Source organism: Homo sapiens, chromosome 17, assembly GCF_000001405.40.
Source record: "Homo sapiens chromosome 17, GRCh38.p14 Primary Assembly".
Lineage (NCBI taxonomy): Eukaryota > Metazoa > Chordata > Mammalia > Primates > Hominidae > Homo > Homo sapiens.
The window spans coordinates 13,370,477-13,390,171 of NC_000017.11; the positions used below are offsets into that span (position 1 = coordinate 13,370,477).

Sequence of the window (19,695 nt, forward strand, 5' to 3'; positions counted from 1 at the left end):
GATCTAGTTAAGCCAAGTGTCCAAATGCCGGCACTGTATACACTCTTGTCTAAGAAAACATATCCCACCCACCATCCCTGGTATTGGATAGCGGTGATTTATCATAGGTAAATCTTTCTCTTCCACTCCTCATTCTCAGATCTCATTCTCCTCCCACCCTTTCTACTGAGTCTCCAAAGTCCGTTGTATCATTCTTATACTTTTGTGTCCTCATAGCTTAGTTCCCACTTATGAGTGAGAACATACGGTGTTTGGTTTTCCATTCCAGAGCTACTTCATTTAGAATTGGAACGCACCTGAAACAAGGGTAGACAATTCAGCCACAGGCTGGTGACCAACATCCTGGTACAAATAGTTGTACTGAGCTTTTAGAAAGACCACTGAGAAATGCTATGAAATGAAACCAGTTGACAATAGGGCCTACCGTAAAAGAACGCAGATGTAATGAGGCCAGCCATGGAGAGCTGCTGCAAGAAGGAAAGGAGGTAGCCCATTGTGAAAGACCATCAGAAGGTGCAGAGGGCGAGACAGGTAGACAGAGAGGAGAGGGAAAGAGAGAGAGAACAAACACAGGATTCCAAAGCTGCTTCGGCCTCCAGCTCTGATTTCATTCATTTCCAGAAAGTTAGCCCACGGGGATTTTACTTGGAATTTTCAACATAATTCTTAAGTTAATTTGGAACTAAAGTACACATAAAAATAATTTTTAAAAAATGAATATTGAAGAGGGTCTTTCCCTGTCAGTTAAAAAATATGTCATAATTAAAATAGCAAGATACAGTGTGGTGCAGACAGGCTGAGGAGTGGAACTGCAAATGAAGTCCAGAAACATATTATCAGTATAAAAATATTCCATAATGAAGACAACAATTTTAATTCATTGGGGGAACAATGGATTTGCCAGTAAATGATAATGAAGTCATTGGCTCACCAATTTGAAAAATAGCAAGCTGGATTTCTTCCTCATACTCTTTACCAGCATAAATTTCATAAGAATTAATGATTTACATTCAGAGAAAAAATAAAAGTTTTATAGGAAAAGGCAGGTGATTACATAATTTTGGGATGGGTGAAGAGTTTTCTAAGGACAATATCAATGGCATCAAACATAAAGGAAAATATAGTGGATTTGACTCATGGAAATTAAAACCATTCGCGTATAGAAAAGGATTAACTACTAAGAGGCTAATTATAAATTTGAAAAATGTTTTGTACAACTAACAAAGGGTAAGTCCTTTTCATATAGAAAAGACCCTTATAGGCCAGGCATGATGGCTCGCGTGGTGGCCTGTAATCCCAACACTTTGGGAGGCCGAGGCAGGTGGATCTTGAGGTCAAGAGATCAATACCATCCTGGACAACATGGTGAAACCCTGTCTCTACTAAAAATATAAAAATTAGCTGGGCATGGTGGCACACACCTGTAATCCCAGCTACTCAGGAGGCTGAGGCAGGATAATTGCTTGAATCCAGGAGGTGGAGGTTGTAGTTAGCCAAGATCGTGCCACTGCACTCCAGCCTGGCGACAGGGTGACAGGGTGAGACTCCATCTCAAAAAAAAAAAAAAAAAAAAGGAAGACCCTTATAAATAATTAAGAAAATAATAAACCCCTATTAGAAAATTGGGAAGTGGAGACCATATATGGAATCAGTTCCATTTTCTGTTATATATATTTTTTGTAATAACATATTTACTTATAGGTATATATGTTTATATTTGCTTTTTGTAAAAATATATATTTCTATAAAAAGAATAAATTTTATAGTTAAATAAAAATAACTAAAGAGATTTACCCCAAATTATAAAAAGTATAACAGGATGATGGGTGATTTTTATTTGCTTGCTTTTTATCTTTCTGTAATTTCCAAGTTTTTAGTGATAAATAGATTTTACTTCTGGAATGAGAAAAAAGTTTTCAAAAATAGAAGAAATACAAACAATTTGTGAATCACAGTCTAAGTTTGCTGTCTCTATCTTGTTTTCTCTTGATGCTTTGATTTGAGGTGACCACAGATGCTTTCGGGACCCTCGCTGAAGGTCCTCAGTGTAGCATTCCCTGGAGCCCCTGGATATCCTGGGCTTGGCCAAGAGCTTGGAATGTATTACACAGAGGAAGCCATTGTCAGAGCTGGGCTTACTGGCTCAGCCTGTCTCCTAAAGGCGGGTTCCTGGGACCAAACCAGAGCACAATGAAGAAAGAAGGGAAAATAGCCATTGGCTTCTACCACAATAGAGAGAGCATGGCTCTAAGAACTTTCCAAGGCGTTTCCAACTTGACATTTCCTTTCTTGACCTTTTAGCTTCTTACTTTCCTTCACATACAGTGGCCCAGAGTTAAATTTAGCATTATCTTTAGAAAAAGGCAATTTCCCCAAGAACTCAAAACTACAAACTTCTGAACTCAAGAAGACAGATTCAGGAATAGCGTTGCATTTGGCTTATTTAACACAGAGTTACATATCCTTGGAATAGCTCCTGACTAACTCAAGAGAGTCAGCAGGTGTCTTCACAGGATTGAGTGAGACTTGGATATTTTGTGGTCTGTTTCCTGTACAAACGTATGATGTGCTGGAGTGATAACGCAGACATTATTACAGCATTCTGCAATGTCTCCTCATTGCTATCCCTTGATCTGCATCCAAACAAACATAAGGAAAGAGATGTTGCTCTTGACATTAACACTGATGGCAATCTTGGTACTTGGGGTGATGTAGGTGCTGATAGAAGTCAGCAAGGAGGGTCAGATCTTTACGGCTTTGAACCTGTCTACTGCTCCAGCATTATCTCTCAACAAGCCCCAGTCACTTCTTGCCCCCTGTGTTTTGATTTTGCAGAATTTCTTGGGTTGTCTCAGTGGCCCATGTTCTTTGAAAGCCTCTGGTCTTCCTCTTGGAACACTGGCCCCAACTCATCCTCTCCACCAGCAAGGCATGCCTGACCTCTTAGGCTTGCTCAGAGGCTCTTGCGAGCATCCATTGATTTCCTGGAGCCAAGACTTTATGTGTTAATTTTCTGTTTACTCCTCTGGCTCCCCTACTCCCTGTGTGCTAAGTAACTGCCAAGTGGTACCACAGCAGACTGCCTAGTGCCTGGATTCTAGCATCCAAACACCAGTGTTCAAATCCCTGTCCTGGACTTGCATTGTTGTCTGTGTTCATTAAGTGGTTGACTCAACATTTTACCTTCTCTTCTTTTACTTGTAAAATGTGGATGAAGATAATGAAACCTATCTTACGAATTTGGAGTAGGGAAAGCACATGAACAACTTAGTCTAGTGTGTGGTTCCCTAGGAAACAGTCAATAAGCTTTAGCCAGTGCAATTAGCCAGTATCATTCTTGTCAGTTTATAGCACAGCCTCTACCACATACAAGGTGCTAGTCATATTCCTGTTTGGTTGCTCTTCTCTTCACTGTCTGGCCACACTGATCTGTATGTTCCTAAAACAATTAAACTGTTTTCTGCCTCAGGACCTTTGCACTCACTGTTCCCCATGTGTGGAGCACATTTCCCTGACTCTTTCCAGGTGTGGCTGACTTCTCCTCTTCCTATTTCAGCTAAATTGCCACCTCCTCCAAGAGCATTTTGGGCTAACACTATTTAAAGTAGATAACCCCCCTACACTCTGTTTTATCTGCTATAACAACACTAGATTTATTTCTCCAATAGTTACTTCATTGATTTACTTCTAGAATGCCTGCTTCTTGCACTAACCTGTGTAACCTTCTGAGGGCAGAGGCTTATCAACCTCGTCTCTCAATATCTCCAGTGTCTATCTAGTGTCTAGCACACTACGTAGGTATTTGTTGGATGAATAAATGAATGAATTAATACAAGGACTGAAGGAATGCATGACTTGCAGAAAATTCAGCTATGCAATAGTTGGCAAACACCGAAAGGCCTAGCAGAAAATCCAAGCTCTCCTGCAGAGTCAGCTGCAAATATAGGTCTGTCTTCATTTTCCCTTATCAAGACTGACAAGACGACACAAAGTCCTTTGAGCTCTTTGGAAGGGAATAGCAATGCATAAACTCAAAAGATAATCTTGTTTCTTTTTATGAATTCAAAATAATTTTTGAAAAGGAACAGGCCCTCTCAAAGCATTATGCCCACACAATCTTTGCTTTAAGTAGCAAAAAACTCCCAAATAGTTTTATGATCTCTAATGTAATGCAGATGTAGAGGGTAAGAATTTGATGGTCAATTAATTTAGAAAGTATCCAGGGCCTAGCAGAGGTTCAACTTATTGACTTTGAAATTTGACTCATGATTCCAATGTTGCCCCCCACTTTTTTCTCCATCTCTAGATATAAAAAGAAAGGAAAGCTTGTAATATTGCTTACGGAATGTTCTAGAGGGGTTGTTAAGCTGTTCTTCATAAAAACTCTTGGACCAAGTTTTCCTGGCCGTTTCCAACTGGGACCGTTCCTGAGCATTGAAGTGAAGTAATATTAAACTGGCAGGCTGCTGAGAGCCGATTATTGTGGGGAGTTGAAAGGAAAGAGCTGGCATCTTTGTGCTTCATTAATCTTAGAAAGAAAGAAAGCTCTGGCCGCTGGACCAAATGCCCACATGTCAGAGCTTGATTTCCTGTTCTTCTGGGTTTCAGTCTGAATGCAAAGCAAATGTTTCAGGGAGCTCCAAGCAGCTAGGAGGTATGTTCCTTTCCCACGTGACCAGGACTTAAATTCATGAATTAATACCCAAGTCTGAGAAAGCTGATAGTTATCCAGGCTAGAGGCAATATGGTGCCGGGAACTGTAGGCACAGCTAGTAATTAATTAATCAATGAAATGGCTATTAAGCTTCCTTGATACTATTGGACAAAAGAAAATCCTCCTCTTGTTCTCCAAAATTCTTCACGCATGCCTCCATGTATACCATGCTACTACATGGTAATTTGCACATTTATTGCATTTGAATATAAAGTTTTCCTCAAGAGAGAACAAACTATGAAACTGTATATTTTAGTAACGGCTTTATTGAGGTATAATTCACATATCATACAATTCATCCATTAAAGTGTACAACTTAATGGTTTTTGGTACATGCACAGTTGTGCAACCATCAACACAATTAATTTTACAACATTTTCATCACCCAAAAAAGAAATTCTACACCTTTTAGCTATTGTCTCACCATAACCCATATCAGCTCTCCAGAAGCTCCTGGCAATCACTGATATACTTTCTGTTCCTATATATTTGCTAAGTCTGGATATTTCATATAAATAGAATCATACAGTATGTGGTCTTCTGTGACTGGCTGTAATAGCATTTTTTGTGACTTATTTATCTTGGTGACAGGCACAAAAAAGATGCTAATAAAAATGTTATTTGAATAAATAATTAGCTTCTACTATCAATTAATCACTGTGCAATAACTGTACAGAAGGAATATATGACATAAATCTTGACCACAAGTTATGTTTAATCCAGATGATGAGGAAAGATTGATCCAAAATACTAAAATTAACTAAATCATATGCCCTAAAATGCTCAAATAAGTGGCACATAGGCAGGAAAAATAAGATGGTATACTGAAAGGTGCTTTTCTAGAGCAAATTTTGGGGCAAAATTTTTAAAGTAATATAGATGTAGTTTACGCTTGGTGAAAAAAGATAAACCAGCCAGGCATGGTGGCTCACGCCTGTAACCCCAGCACTTTGGGAGGCCGAGGTAGGTGGATCACCTAAGGTCAGGAGTTCGAGACCAGCCTGGCCAACATGGTGAAACCCCGTCTCTACTAAAAGCACAAAAATTAGCCGGGCGTGATGGTGGGTGCCTGTAATCTCAGCTACTCAGGAGGCTGAGGCAGGAGAATTGCTTGAACCCAGGGGGCGGAGGTTGCAGTGAGCAGAAATCGCACCATTGCACTCCAGCCTGGGCAACAGAGCGAGACTCCATCTCAAAAAAATATAAAACAAAAACAAAACAAAACAAAACAAAAAGGACAAACCTTTGGATTCCAGGTTAAATTCTCATCAAAATATTACTCTTGGCTCCTTCATCCACATCTATATTTAAACGTACATTTATATCATCTATTTCTACACCCTCATTTTCATCTATAATTTTCTATAAAATATTCATTGTGTTTTTGGAAAAGCATCACAAAGTTTATTTTCTTTTAGTCATTGCCATGATTTCTTCTCCTGAAACATAAATAAGGAAACCTGCAGTTTGATTGATGACTACTAGACAATCTCAAATAAAATAACCCTTCAATGGCTCCCATTCTCTATTTCTCCTTCTGATCCTTGATTGGGTGTTGTCTAAATCTAGTCTTCTATTTGCTGACTTACCATGCAGTGCTCTACCTTTCTCAGAAGCAGGAGCCCCATCCTGACAAGCCTTTCCCACAGGGATATTCCACTCTGCTTCAGACTCCCTGTCTTTCAAGTAGAGATGATTTTCATTTTTTTTCTCATACCATCTTCTTCAGTCTGTTTCAATGAAACCATGTGTGCTTGAAACCTGAGAATCATACTTGGCCCTTCCTAGTTCTTCCCACTCTATATCCAATTAATCATCAAAGACTATTAATGCCTGCTGTAGATTATATTTGACCAGTTATTTATTTTTACTTGTGTCTAGCTCCCTAGTTATAAAATGCAGATAACTATTGCCAACCTCACAAAGGAAACTGTGAAGAATAAAAGGCACAGACAGTCAGCTCTTCACCTTAGAGTAGAGAGTTCACATTCCTAAATAAGAGTCCTGATTCTGGAGTCTGCCTGAGGGTGGTTCTCTGGCTTTGGAGCAGTCACTTCTCTGTGTCTGATATAAAATAGGAGCATTTTATATCAGTAATTGCATGGGGTGGTGGTGACCATCAAGAAGGTAATCTATGGAAAGTGTGTGGAAGAATTCCTGGAAGTATGCAGAAAACGCAACCTTTAGGTAGATACGCACATTTTGCGTGCCTCACTTTGTCAAAGATGGAACCCTCATGGACTGTCCTAAGCACAGGTCTGAGGTGTTTGACCTCCACCTGCATTCACAAGGTCATGACTTTACACAAATGTATGGGTGTGGCTCCTTTTATGCTCTGGCCAGTAAGACAGAGGTAGAGTTTAGGGCCTATGAATTTGTGTGAGATTACTGGAGCTGTACGTTAATAAAGAGACACATATTTAGAACCATTTAACCCCACTCCTTGCTTTAGATTTTTGTTTAAAGGAAAACATTTGGAATTTGCTGTGAGATAGTGAACCCTGGCTGATGTTGAACAAGCTTCTACTAGCCACTTTAAATGGACAAATCCATGTTACATGAAGTCAATTTTGAGCATAAAGGCTAATCTCCAGCTTCCTCAGGAACACTGAGACTTACCCAAACACTAAACCAACTCATTGCATTATAGTTATGTCTCACACTGACTCTCTCACTCTTTCTCTGTCTTTCTTTTCATTCTTCAGCCTAAAAGATAAGTATCCATGTTAATTATCCAACCTATTTACTATTGTACTTCTGAGTGGTTTTTGGCCCTTTCCAAAAAACGTGTGTCACAGCCTTGGGGCCATGCCCACGAATAATCCAGAGAGGATATGACCAGAGGAAGCATAGTTTTTATAAGTGCACAGCTTCCCAAGTGTCCTGTGTTCAACATTTCTGAACTCATTTATGTTTATATTATCCGAGATGTTTGATAAAAGAAATCAGAGTCATTACCTACACACATTGGGAGGAAAAAAACCCCCAAATTTCATTATCTTTGAATAAAATCAACCTATCTTTATCCTAGACAGCCATCTCCAAAACGCTTTTTTTTTTGGCTGATGATTATAGGCATGTTCACAAGGAAAATTTAAAAAAGCCCATTCAGCAGGAATGCCTACGTGGCTTGAGAAGGAAGAGGAATTCTTTAAAAAGCTCCCTAAAACAGCCAGTTCTCTATTGGACTCCCGAATCCTTTCTCCACTGTGAGTATCAGTTACAAATGCATCAGGAAGCCTAATGGTTTTACCATCTTCTCCTAGCACAAACATCCAACAATATCACAGGGAGAGCTATAGAGGCACACTGCAATCTGCAGTCCTTCCACTCTCCTGTGGCAAAGAGCCACCATTCTCCGAAGCAGCAGCACCTTCTCTGTCCCAAGATTTGGTCAGCAAACAGCCCTTCAGGCTCTGGATATGAGACTTGCCCACTCTTAGTTCCAAATGGCAAGGAGATGGCAATCATTAAAAAGAGATCATTACTAATAGCATATTTTTAAAACTCAGCCTGGTTTCCTTTTTTAGCCCTCATGAAAGAGTAATGTAAACCAGTCCTACTGCATTGGAACAACTTTTAAATAATGCCAGACACTCGCCAATAACAGCCCAAGAAAAAGGAAAAGTGTTGATTTAAGAAAACTATCCCCTTACACATGTTTTTTCTTCTTTTAGTATTTTGATGGGCATTTAGTAATTGTTATGTACCACAAGCCAGTGAGCAAGACAGCCATAGTATCTGCTGTCAAAGAGCTTACAGTCTAGCGGGGTGAACAGAAGAAAAAACTATTAAGAGAGGGTAAGTGAGGGCTGTAAGAGCATGTGGAGAGGCATTTAATCCAGCTGTGGGAAGGTCAAGGATGGCTTGCTAGAGGAAGTGTAACCTAAATAGATACACCAAGGATGTAGGGAGAGTGCTAGAGAAGAAAGAATATTCCAGACACAGAGAAAACTTGTACAAAAATCTGAATGTGAGGCAGAGCAAACGCATTGGAAAAACTGGATTGCAGAAAGATGAAAGAAGGAACTGTCTTCTTCAGATAATATTAAAGCACCTTGAGCAATCTGGGGTCCGTGTGTGTCTAGGTTGGCAGGGGCTAAATAGAGGAGTGAACTTACCGGATTTGCCTTTTAGACAAAGCACTATGCGGAATGGATGAGAGGTTGTAGGACTGCAAGCGGGGATGCCAATGGCTGGCTGGTATCAAAATCTAGACAAGGGGATGGTAATCTGAACTAAGGTAGCACTCATGGTGATGAGTAGACAAAGACAGAGTTCAAGGTGTCCAATAACACAGATGCTAACAACCTTCCAGTTGCAAGAAGATCCTTCTATGGAGGTAGCCTCCCTGCTATTGATGGGGCTGCTGAGATCTATTAATAGGAGACATATTTGACTAGAGATGCATTCCTGTGGATGGTGAAGCCAAATATCAGTTGATTGGGTTTGCTTTGTCACTTCCAAATGGGAGCACGTCCAAGTTAGGATGACTGGGATTTGGGAGATACTACAGGCATTGAGCTTTTATCTTTCAGCCAATATGACAATTTTTTGACTACTGTAGCTTTAAAACAAGTCTTAAAGTTAGGTAGAATTAGGTCTTCAAGTCTGTTTTTCAAAGTTGTTTGGATTACTCTAGAGTCTTTGTGTTTCCTGTGGATTTTAGGATGAGTTTGTCAATGAAAAAAATACTGCTAGGAGCTAAAATATAATTGCATGATAGCAATTATGCCAAGATTAAGAAAATTTGCCTTTCACGTACCATTCTGAGGAAGTTATTTGAGGATTCACACCAGCAAAAACAGAGAAAGATCAGACAGGTAATTGTGGAATGCAGGAAACAGCCCTAGATTCCCCTGGCATCCACAAAGCCTGGAAAGCATCTGGTCTAGATTGTAGCAAGAGGTCAGAGGGGTGGATGGACGTCCCCAAAAGACAGTGAATTCCTTGCCTTAGTAGATGACATAATGAAAAGATTGGAATATTTTGAAGATATAATGGGGGCATATTATGTTTTTGGAAATTAGAAAAAATGAAAGTGTTTAGAAACTCTTTCCTGCAAAGCAAGGGGAAGCTATACAGGAAATCTGTGGTTAGAGCATTAAACAATCATTTAAAATGAAATTTTTAGAAAAACATTTGTTAGAGTATAAGTAAAAGAAATCTATTTCACCTTGATTCAGAAAATATTCTACTTTGTATAGTGCAGAGATTATCATATTGAAGCAGTAAAGGAAATGTAATGCCTGTACAAGACTGGGCTAAGCAGTAAGAATAACTACCAGAATAGGAGTCTTTGCTGCGTGCCATGGGTTAATTATAGAATCCTCACAACAACCCCAAGAGATTCATATTATTTACCCTTTTTAGAAGTAAAGGACTGATGTAAAAAGAAGTTAACTGAGTTGTCCAAGATCATAAAGCTAGTAAGTAACAGAGCAAATTTCTTAAACATTGTTATGTGCTGTTTTTGTAAATACAGATATATTTATATATGAAATCTTTTCTGTACAGATAAATAATATTTCTGGTTTATGAAGTTTACAATCAACTTATAGATATGTCATTCTAGAACACAATGCTAATTCTATCAATCTTCGCAATGTACGGATACTGATATTGTTAGTGGAAGTTGATAACTGGGATAAGGAAAGGTGGAAGATAGGGTAAGAAGAGTCATATTCCCATCGTACGTGGGGAATGTGTCTAAATTTAATAATGTCTAAATCTGACAAACCAGACATAGAAGTATAAGCATATTTTAAATTATAAATACAATCAATGAGAAAGCGTTAATAATTATGTAACACCAAAAGTAGAAAGCAAGGAATAGGGAAAGATGGGGATTGTGTAAGTAACTAAGTCTTCAGTTCATAATGGCAAAGTAATGATAGTGTCTAAAATGGATGTCAAGCAATTTTTGTGTAAGCATATTCTATATCTCAGTGGTTCTTAACTCCTACAATGCATCAGAAGTACCTAGTGGGCATTAAAAATAATACCACTGCTTGAGTCCCACCTCCAGGGATCTGGATCAATGACTATCAGGAAAAGGCAAGTATGGGGAACTTCCAAAAACTTCCAGGTAATTTTTAATGTGAAGCCATAAAGGAGAACCTCTGATTTAAAAACAGGTAGATCCAGCCGGGCACGGTGGCTCACACCTGTAATCCCAGCACTTTGGGAGGCCAAGGCGGGCAGATCACGAGGTCAGGAGATCGAGACCATCTTGGCTAACATGGTGAAACACCGTCTCTACTAAAAATACAAAAATTTAGCCGGACGTGGTGGCAGGTGCCTGTAGTCCCAGCTACTCGGGAGGCTGAGACAGGAGAATGGCGTGAACCCTGGAACACATTCTAAGTTTGTCAACCTAGAAATATTTCAAATTAAAATCACAAGTTTAAATTAAATATTCAATTACCCAATTAAATTTGCAGTAATTGGGTGGCCACTTTAGTAAGCCAAGTTTTCTTAAACATAACGAGTTCATAAGCACCAACTATTAAGACTATGATGTTCTTTTTCTTCTACATTTCTTTCCTTTTTTTCTTTTTTTATTTTGAGACAGAGTTTTGCTCTGTCACCCAGGCTGGAGTGCAGTGGCACGATAGCTCACTGCAACCTCCACCTCCTAGGTTCAAGCAATTCTCCTGCCTCAGCCTCCCAAGTAGCTGGGATTACAAGCACCTGCCACCACACCTGGCTAAATATTTGCATTTTTAGTAGAGATGGGGTTTCACCACGTTGGCTAGGCTAATTTCAAACTCCTGACCTCAAGTGATCCACCTGCCTCGGCCTCCCAAAAGTGCTAGGCCTAAGCCACCGTGCCCGACCTCTTCTACATTTCAATGCTGAATTCTTTTTTTTTTTTTTTTGAGATGGAGTCTCACTCTGTCGCCCAGGCTGGAGTGCAGTGGCGCCTCCTGGCTTCATGCCATTCTCCTGCCTCAGCCTCCCCAGTAGCTGGGACTACAGGCGCCCGCCACCACGCCCGGCTAATTTTTTGTATTTTTAGTAGAGATGGGGTTTCATCATGTTCGCCAGGCTGGTCTTGATCTCCTGACCTTGTGATCCGCCCGCCTCGGCCTTCTAACTCTTCTCAGAGTTATGAGATACTTACCACTAAGGAGGATACTTACCCTTCTGAGTAACTGATGTGAATTTAATCACAACTTCTAATGGGCGTAAGACATATAGAGCATTGCATGCATTCAGGACAATTCTTTCTGCCAATTAAGGATACTATTATATTATCCCATGTATGATGTGGGGTTGCTTTCTCAGCACACTTGGGGTTGCAAAAAGAAAAATTTCAGACAGGATGCTAACAGAATTCTTGTCAGCAACTTTGATGTGATGTATTAAACCCTATTGATAATTGTTATGTCAATGGCTCTGTAACTCAAAGGAGGTTTTCACATGCTCCAAGACCTCTAAATTCATGTCTCATACATTACCTAATTCCTTTTTCTACTCATAGACATCTGTAACTTGAACTTAGGTTGATTACCTCATTAGATTTCTGTTTCCTTGGATCTTAAATTATGCAGGTATATTTTCTGCCTACTTCTAAACATGTTTGAACTTGATGGAAGGCTGCATTGTCTCATCATCCTAGACCACCCAACTATTATACATATTAAAATAATAACCAATTACATTTTCAGTATCTCACATAGCTACCAGGTCCTTCTATTAACAATTTGTACAATAAGAACTTAAATAAAAACATAAACAGGAATGTAGACATTAGTCTAAGGGACCCTGCTGTGATTAGTTTCACATCTTTTCATAGGAATTAAGCTGCACCGATGTTGTTTATTTTCTGCTTTATAGGTGAATACGTTTGTATGTAAAAGTTAGATAACATATCCCAAAACGTGTAGATCATAAGTAGCAGAATTAAGACCTAAACCCAGTTCTGATTACAAGTGTACTATATATTCTATTGTACCTCTCCTTAAAAGCTCAGCAAAGGAGAGAGAAAGAATAAACACTTGAGAGAAAGTTTTCCAATATCTTTTGAACTGCCTTTTAAAAATAGAAAAACAGCGTCATAAAAGGGTCTGCGTTATCCTTGTTTAGTCTCTCTGGCCAACTTTGATTCTTCAGGAACATGCCATGGTGTTGAAAACGTTTCTGTCACAAGTGTCCTTGACGATCTATTTGGAACGGATTTATGAAGAGTTAGTGACTCCATAGGCAGGAGCACTGGCATTTTTCTTTGCTATATTTCTTTTCTTTTCTTTTTTTTTTTTTTTTTTTTGTGAGACGGAGTCTCACTCTGTCGCCCAGGCTGGAGTGCAGTGGTGTGAGCTTGGCTCACTGCAAGCTCCGCCTCCTGGGTTCATGCCATTCTCCTGCCTCGGCCTCCCAAGTAGCTGGGACTACAGGCACCCGCCACCACGCCCGGCTAATTTTTTGTATTTTTAGTAGAGATGGAGTTTCACCGTGTTAGCCAGGATAGTCTTGATCTCCTGATCTCGTGATCCTCCCGCCTCGGCCTCCCAAAGTGCTGGGATTAAAGGCATGAGCCACCGCACCCAGCCTTTCTTTGCTATATTTCAAACTCAAGAGCCCAAGAGTTTGAGATTCCAGTGAGCTCAGATTGTGCCACTACACCTCAAGCTGGGTGAAAGAGTGAGGCCCTGTCAGACTCTGTAGAAACTTCTCAGAGCACATTCACAGAGGCTTTTGGTAGAAATCCATCCCATGCCACAAGTTGGTGTTGACTGTCGCTGTCCCCAAAGGTATGGAATAAAAACCTGAAAAGCAAAGTGTCATTTTATGGATGTGATTTTTAAGTTTTTCTTACCCTTCTTTTTTAAAGCGGTGGAACTATTTCTTTACATTAAATCTTGTTTAGAAAGCCAATATTGGGAGGCCGAGGCAGGAGGATCGCTTGAGGTCAGAAGTTGGAGACCAGCCTGGGATATAGAGTGAGACCTTATCTCTACAAAATTAAAAAATCTAGCTGAGTCAGGCATGGTGACGCACATGTGTTGTTCCAGCTACTTGGGAGGCTGAGGAGGGAGGATCTCTTGAGCCCAAGAGTTTGAGATTCCAGTGAACTCAGATTGTGCCACTGCACCCCAAGCTGAGTGACAGAGTGAGGCCCTGTCAGAAAGGGAAGGAAGGAAAGAAGGAAGGAAGGAAGGAAAGGGGGGAGAGAGGGAAGGAGGGAGGGAGGGAGGAAAGGAGGGAGAGAGGGAGGAAGGAAGGGAGGAAGGAAGGAAAGGAGGGAGGGAGGGGAGGGAGGGAAGAAAAGAGAGACAGAAAGAAAGCCAATTTTTAAAAAGCTAAAAACAAAGTGACTCTAGTTTAAATACAAGTTAGAGATCTGATTCCTTTCCCCTCTGTCTTCCACTCTTATGCATTTCCTCAACACCCACAATTGTCCGTGAAGTAGGGTTTAAATTACACTTTCAGAGAAAGAGCATGATGTTCTAAGCACACCGCTTCTCCAGAAAACACCTAAGGTGATCACTTCTTAGAAGCCTTCTGTCTGCTCTAAGGAGAGGAAGCTTGAGCATGGTATCTATAGAGGTAAATGTCATTCTGACTCCTTCTCCATCATCTAATACTAGAAACAAAAGCATCATTGTTCCAGCCATACAGAAGGCTTATGTGATGTTTGCCAGATGCAGCACATCTCTACCACTTTGTGTAAGACAAATATGTATTTGTCAAAGAATAATTGCTAAGTGTGACTGGTAGAGTCAAGTGCCTGTGGGAGAAATTTTCCCTCCCTTCTGTTTCACTTCTAATCCCAGATGTGATTTTTGCAAGTTAAGGGGGTTTATCAGAATAAAGCTTTCCCTTGAAAGGGGGTTAGTCTAGTTACTCCCTAATTCTGCTTTTCTCACCAAATCTTAACTGGCTATTAGGCAGCAGGCAGAGAAATAATGAAAAAGGAAGAAAATGTGTCCAGGCCAACCTTACCAGTTAACCGTGGCCTTGGGGAGACCCAGACTCCACAATGCTTGAATGCTCAATGCACATGTAATTTATAGTACAGTTATTGATTGCTTCTGCTACCTCAGAATTATGGAAACATTCTTGGAAGTCATCAAGCAAAAAGGTAGAGACTACTATTATAGCGCTTACACTATCCAATAGTTTGTGGTTTTCCTTTCACATAAACTTGGGAGTTGAAACCCAAGGCTAAGTGGGAATTACAGCCATAAAAAACATGGGCATCTATTTTATTCCCTCAAACCACATTGAAGAACTTTGACTATATTATCCACCCTAAAGTCCACCCCACAAAAAATTTCAACCCCAAATCCCCTTAAAGATTAACAAGCTGACAAACCTTGCTAATGTCAGAGAGAGGAAAACAGCTCCCTGCTAACTGCCGGAAATGGACTCCAGACTTCCTCTTTCTTCAGCTGAGGACACTATGTAACTGTTCAGAAATGTGAAGGTTTCTTAAAGCATGATGACTATTACAGGACTGAGACAGAGGCTCCTCCTGGAGCCAGGTAGCCACATACAGCCAATGAATCAGACCCCAGTCTGGCCTGATGTTCAACAAGGAGATGATTTATAATGGGATACAGGGACAGCCGGCAGATACACCTCAGAAGTTGGATAATCCAGACCAGCTGAGCGTAGATTGTGACATTTCTGTCTCTGTCCACGTCATTTTCTTTCTGCAGCACGTGAGGAGAGCAGGTCTTTGAGAGGGCAGCTTACAGACATGCAGCACATAAAGATTCAGGCTTATCAAGAACTGGTTCAACTATACGTCCTTCTGAAACCAATGTCAGCCTGGAGGAAATATCCCAGCAGAAATTAGACTCCATGGAATTCTGGAAATTGTAAAAATGTCACAATATATAGAAAGACTATTTTTTCCTTTCTGTATTTTTGGGGGGTGGATGGCTGAGTTTATAGAAAATCAATCTTTATTTCAAAAGGTTATTAGTTTTATAATGTATAACATACTCTGAGCCATAATCATTATATTATTTTGGGTCTGTAGATATGTAATATTATATCTTAATTACCTACCTTGTATAAACACTATATTTACTAACATAGCAATACACTAGGTGTATGATATTATTACTTCAATAAACGTGTTTAAATAATATACAAATGTAACTCTGAAATACATGAAGCCTATGGACTGAAATATAATATAAAGGACAATGTTCACAAAATAGTAAAACATACATATCACATTTTCAAAAATATCTCTAGACCTTTCTCTATAGAAAAAAAAACGAAATTTTATTGTGATCTTATTTCCAGTACCTTAACTGAATCTAAACCCATGAAGCTGAGTAAACATGAGCCAACCAGTTTTAGCCAGGAATCTCCACTGTATTTTCTTCTTCCTTATTCTTTTCTACCCTCCTCTTTCCCCTTCCTAAAAAGAAAGAAAAGTAACTTTTTCCTCCTATACTCACACATTTCTGACACCAAATGTGTGGGATTATTTCCCCCACACACACACACCCATCAATTATCCAGTTCTCAACATTTGCTGACTGGGTGTCCTCTAATTTGATTCAATTCTGACACTTTTTACCTGAGGTTAGCATCAGATTCCACAAGTTAAGGGCTCAGGCAGTCCCACAACACTATGCCCACTGCCTTCAGACGCCAGTCACAAGTCCAGGTTGCCACCTGTGGTTCTGAACCACTAGTTATAAATCAGAGGTTCCCCTGAGCCCCTGTTCAGATTTGGTGATTTGCTAGAGCAGTTCATGGAGCTCAGGAAAACAGTTTACTACTAGGTTGCAGATTTATAATAAAAGGATACAACTCAGGAACAGCAGGCGGAAAAGACGGTGGAGGCAACGGAGCTTCCACACCCTCTCCAGGGGTGCCACTCTCCCAGCTCCTCCACATGGCCACCAACTCGGAAGCTCTCCAAAGCCCTTCAGTTACTGGTTTCTTGTGGAGGCATTATGACGTAGGCAGGACCAATTGTTAACTCGGTTTCCAGCCTGTCTTCCCTTCTTGGATGATGAAGAATGCGTCTGAAAATTCCAAGTTTCTAATCAAAGTTTGGTCTTTCTGGTGACCTGACCCCATCTTGAGGCTACTGAGGAACCCAGCAAGCATCACCTCATTAGAACAAAAGATACTGCTGTCACTCAAGGAACTGCGAGGGATTTAGGAGTTACGTGTGAGAAACCGTGATCAAAGACCAAGTATTAGAACAAAAGATGCTCCTACCATCACTTAGGAAATTACAAGTCTCTGGGGAGCTCTGTGCCGGGAACTAGGGACAGAAGCCAATGTATATTTCTCATGATATCACAATGTCACACTCTTGTTTACTGCCAGCTCTCTAGCAGAACACATATTGCCCTAAAGTAGCTTATAATTTCCATCCCATTGCTACTCTATACTTTTGGAAAATGCTCTCTAAATAGCTTCGTCTTGGTTTTTGCTTTTTTGATAAGTTGTCAAGACTAGATTAATATCTAAATTAATTTTTTTTTTGAGATGGAGTTTCACTCTTGTTGCCCAGGCTGAAGTGCAATGGCACGATTCTCAGCTCACTGCAAACTCTGCCTCCCAGGTTGAAGCGATTCTCCTGCCTCAGCCTCCCAAGTAGCTGGGATTAAAGGCCCCTGCCACTAGGCCCAGCTAATTTTTTTTGTATTTTTAGTAGAGACGGGATTTCACTGTGTTGGCCAGTTGGTCTCCATCTCCTGATCTCGTGATCCTCCCGTCTTGGCCTCCCAAAGTGATGGGATTACATGAGCCACCGCGCCCGGCCTCTAAATTAAATTTTTATAATTAACATTATGTTTTAAAGTTCACAGGGAGAATTGAAAAGCTTATTATACAAAGAAAACTATCTAGTAAGTTATTTTCAAAGGAAATAAGAACCAGGGAGGGTTGAGACTGCTGTCCTTCAAGATTAATTGCTAAAAGATATTGGAGAAATCCATACAGACTTTTGAGAGGAAAATTTGGGAACCCTCAAATTCCTGGACAAAATGTCATACATGTGTGAAGATAATGGAAAGAATTCCAGATATGCAAATTTCATAAAGTATACAATCCACATACTTATCCTGAAAAATGTCTTCCAAAGATGAACTCGAATGTCATAAGAAACTAACAATTTTGGAAAACTCAGGCTCAGTAAAGAGGAAGTAGAATAAAAAGTTTAGAATAGAAATTTGACATTGTTTAAATACATAATTTGGTTTCACAAACTTACAGTTACAAAGAACTATGAAAATACCATAGTTCATTCAGAAAGAAAAGATAATGCTTTCAAATGAGAATTATAGTAATCAGCAACCTCTGAAATCTCATACATAAAATGGGAAGTGAAAAAAAAAATGAAATTTTCTAGTTTTCTTTCCTGAATTGCAGAGACTATTTTATACTTGAGATAGACCATTAAAGAGCTAAAGAATGCATTAAAAAATTAAACTGTAATTAAATTAAAAATAGAGTTTATATCTTAAAATTCCATAGAGAAAATAAATAAATATACATAATCTATATAACAAAAGATAGTAAAAGAAAAACAATGTACAAGCATATATTAAAAAAAATAAAGCAAGATGGCATGTGGAGAGCAAATGTAAATTAGAAACTGGTTAAACATAAAACGACAAAGACCATCAACTTGTATTACAAAACAGAAGGCAACTATATTCTGCATCCAAGAGCACACTGAAAACAGAGGAATCTAGAAAACTTCACATTCAAAGGGTGTGAAAACATGTCAATGAACTCAAGTTAAAAGAAACCAAGAATCAGCTGGGCACAGTGGCTCACACCTGTAATCCCAGCACTTTGGGAGGCCTAGGTGGGTGGATTGCCTGAGGTCAGGAGTTCGAGACCAGCCTGGCCAATATGGTGTAACCCTGTCTCTACTAAAAATACAAAAATTAGCCGGGCATGGTGGTGGGCACCTGTAATCCCAGCTACTCGGGAGGCTGAGGCAGGAGAATCACTTGAACCCGGGAGGCAGAGGTTGCAGTGAGCCAAGATCATGCCACTGCACTCCAGCCTGGGTGACAGAGCAAGACTCCCTTTCAAAAAAAAAATATTTAATACTTCATGTTTTATTAAGATCAGAAGGCAATGGGACATCCTTAAAGTGCTTTTAGAAAGAATTCTATGTGCATAAACCATGTATGTCAAAAAGAATAGTGAAATAAAGATATTTCAGATAAATAAAAAACAGGAAATTTGTTACAAAAGACCTGAACTACAATATATAATAAAATATACTCTTTGGACTGAAGGGAAATGGTACCGGATGCTAAATTGCATATACAGGAAGGCAAAAAAAGCACCATCAATAGTAAGTATGTAGGGAAATGAAAGGTGACTGACTATGGTATGTAGAAGTAAAGTATTTGGCACTGGCACAAAAGAAGCAAGAAATGGAATTACACTCTGGTAAGGTTCTCCTTACATAGTATGTGAAATGGTATATTAATTATAAGTAAACTGTGATAGGTTAAGAAAGCATATTGTAATCCCCCAAAGCCCAGTAAAGATAAAATAATAAAGACAGAAATCAGTAAAATGAAAAATAATGTAGAAAATCAACAGGTTAATACTTGGTTTTTTGAAAGGATTAAATAAAATTGACATAGTCCCTAGGAAGACTAATCAAGAAAAAGAAGACACAACACAAATAACCAATTTCAGAAATAATAGAGCTGATACACATCCTATAGACATTAAAAAAGAGACGAGAGGGATATTATGAACAACTTTTCACTAACAAATATGATAACATACATAAAAAGGACAAATTCCTTTAAAAATGCAATGTATCAAAACTGACTCAGGAAGTAACAGAAAATTAGAATAGCTTAACTCTATTAAAGGTATTTAATTCATAATCAAATAGTTTTCCCCAAAAAAACTCCAATTGTATGAAACATTTAAGGAAAAAATAATACCAATCTTATATTAGCTCTCTAAAAAATATTGGAGGAAGAAATGCTTTCCAGTTTGATGAGTCCAGCGTGATG

At 39.4% G+C, this 19,695-nt stretch overlaps 1 long non-coding RNA gene across 3 annotated transcripts in view; it reads right to left on the reverse strand.

Moving 5' to 3' along the window:
• Positions 1-16,713, reverse strand: part of LOC105371543 (uncharacterized) — a 35,728-nt gene extending 19,015 nt beyond the window's left edge. Inside the window, exons 1-2 of one of the 3 annotated variants that reach the window (XR_934238.3) lie at positions 16,494-16,590; positions 15,036-15,128 (exon numbers count right to left, since the gene is read on the reverse strand). This is a non-coding gene — a long non-coding RNA (uncharacterized LOC105371543). Of the gene's footprint in view, positions 1-12,518; positions 12,883-15,035 lie in introns of those variants that run through there. The other 2 variants (XR_934236.3, XR_007065624.1) reach the window with 2 other exon arrangements.
• Between the last annotated feature and the right edge of the window lie 2,982 nt (positions 16,714-19,695).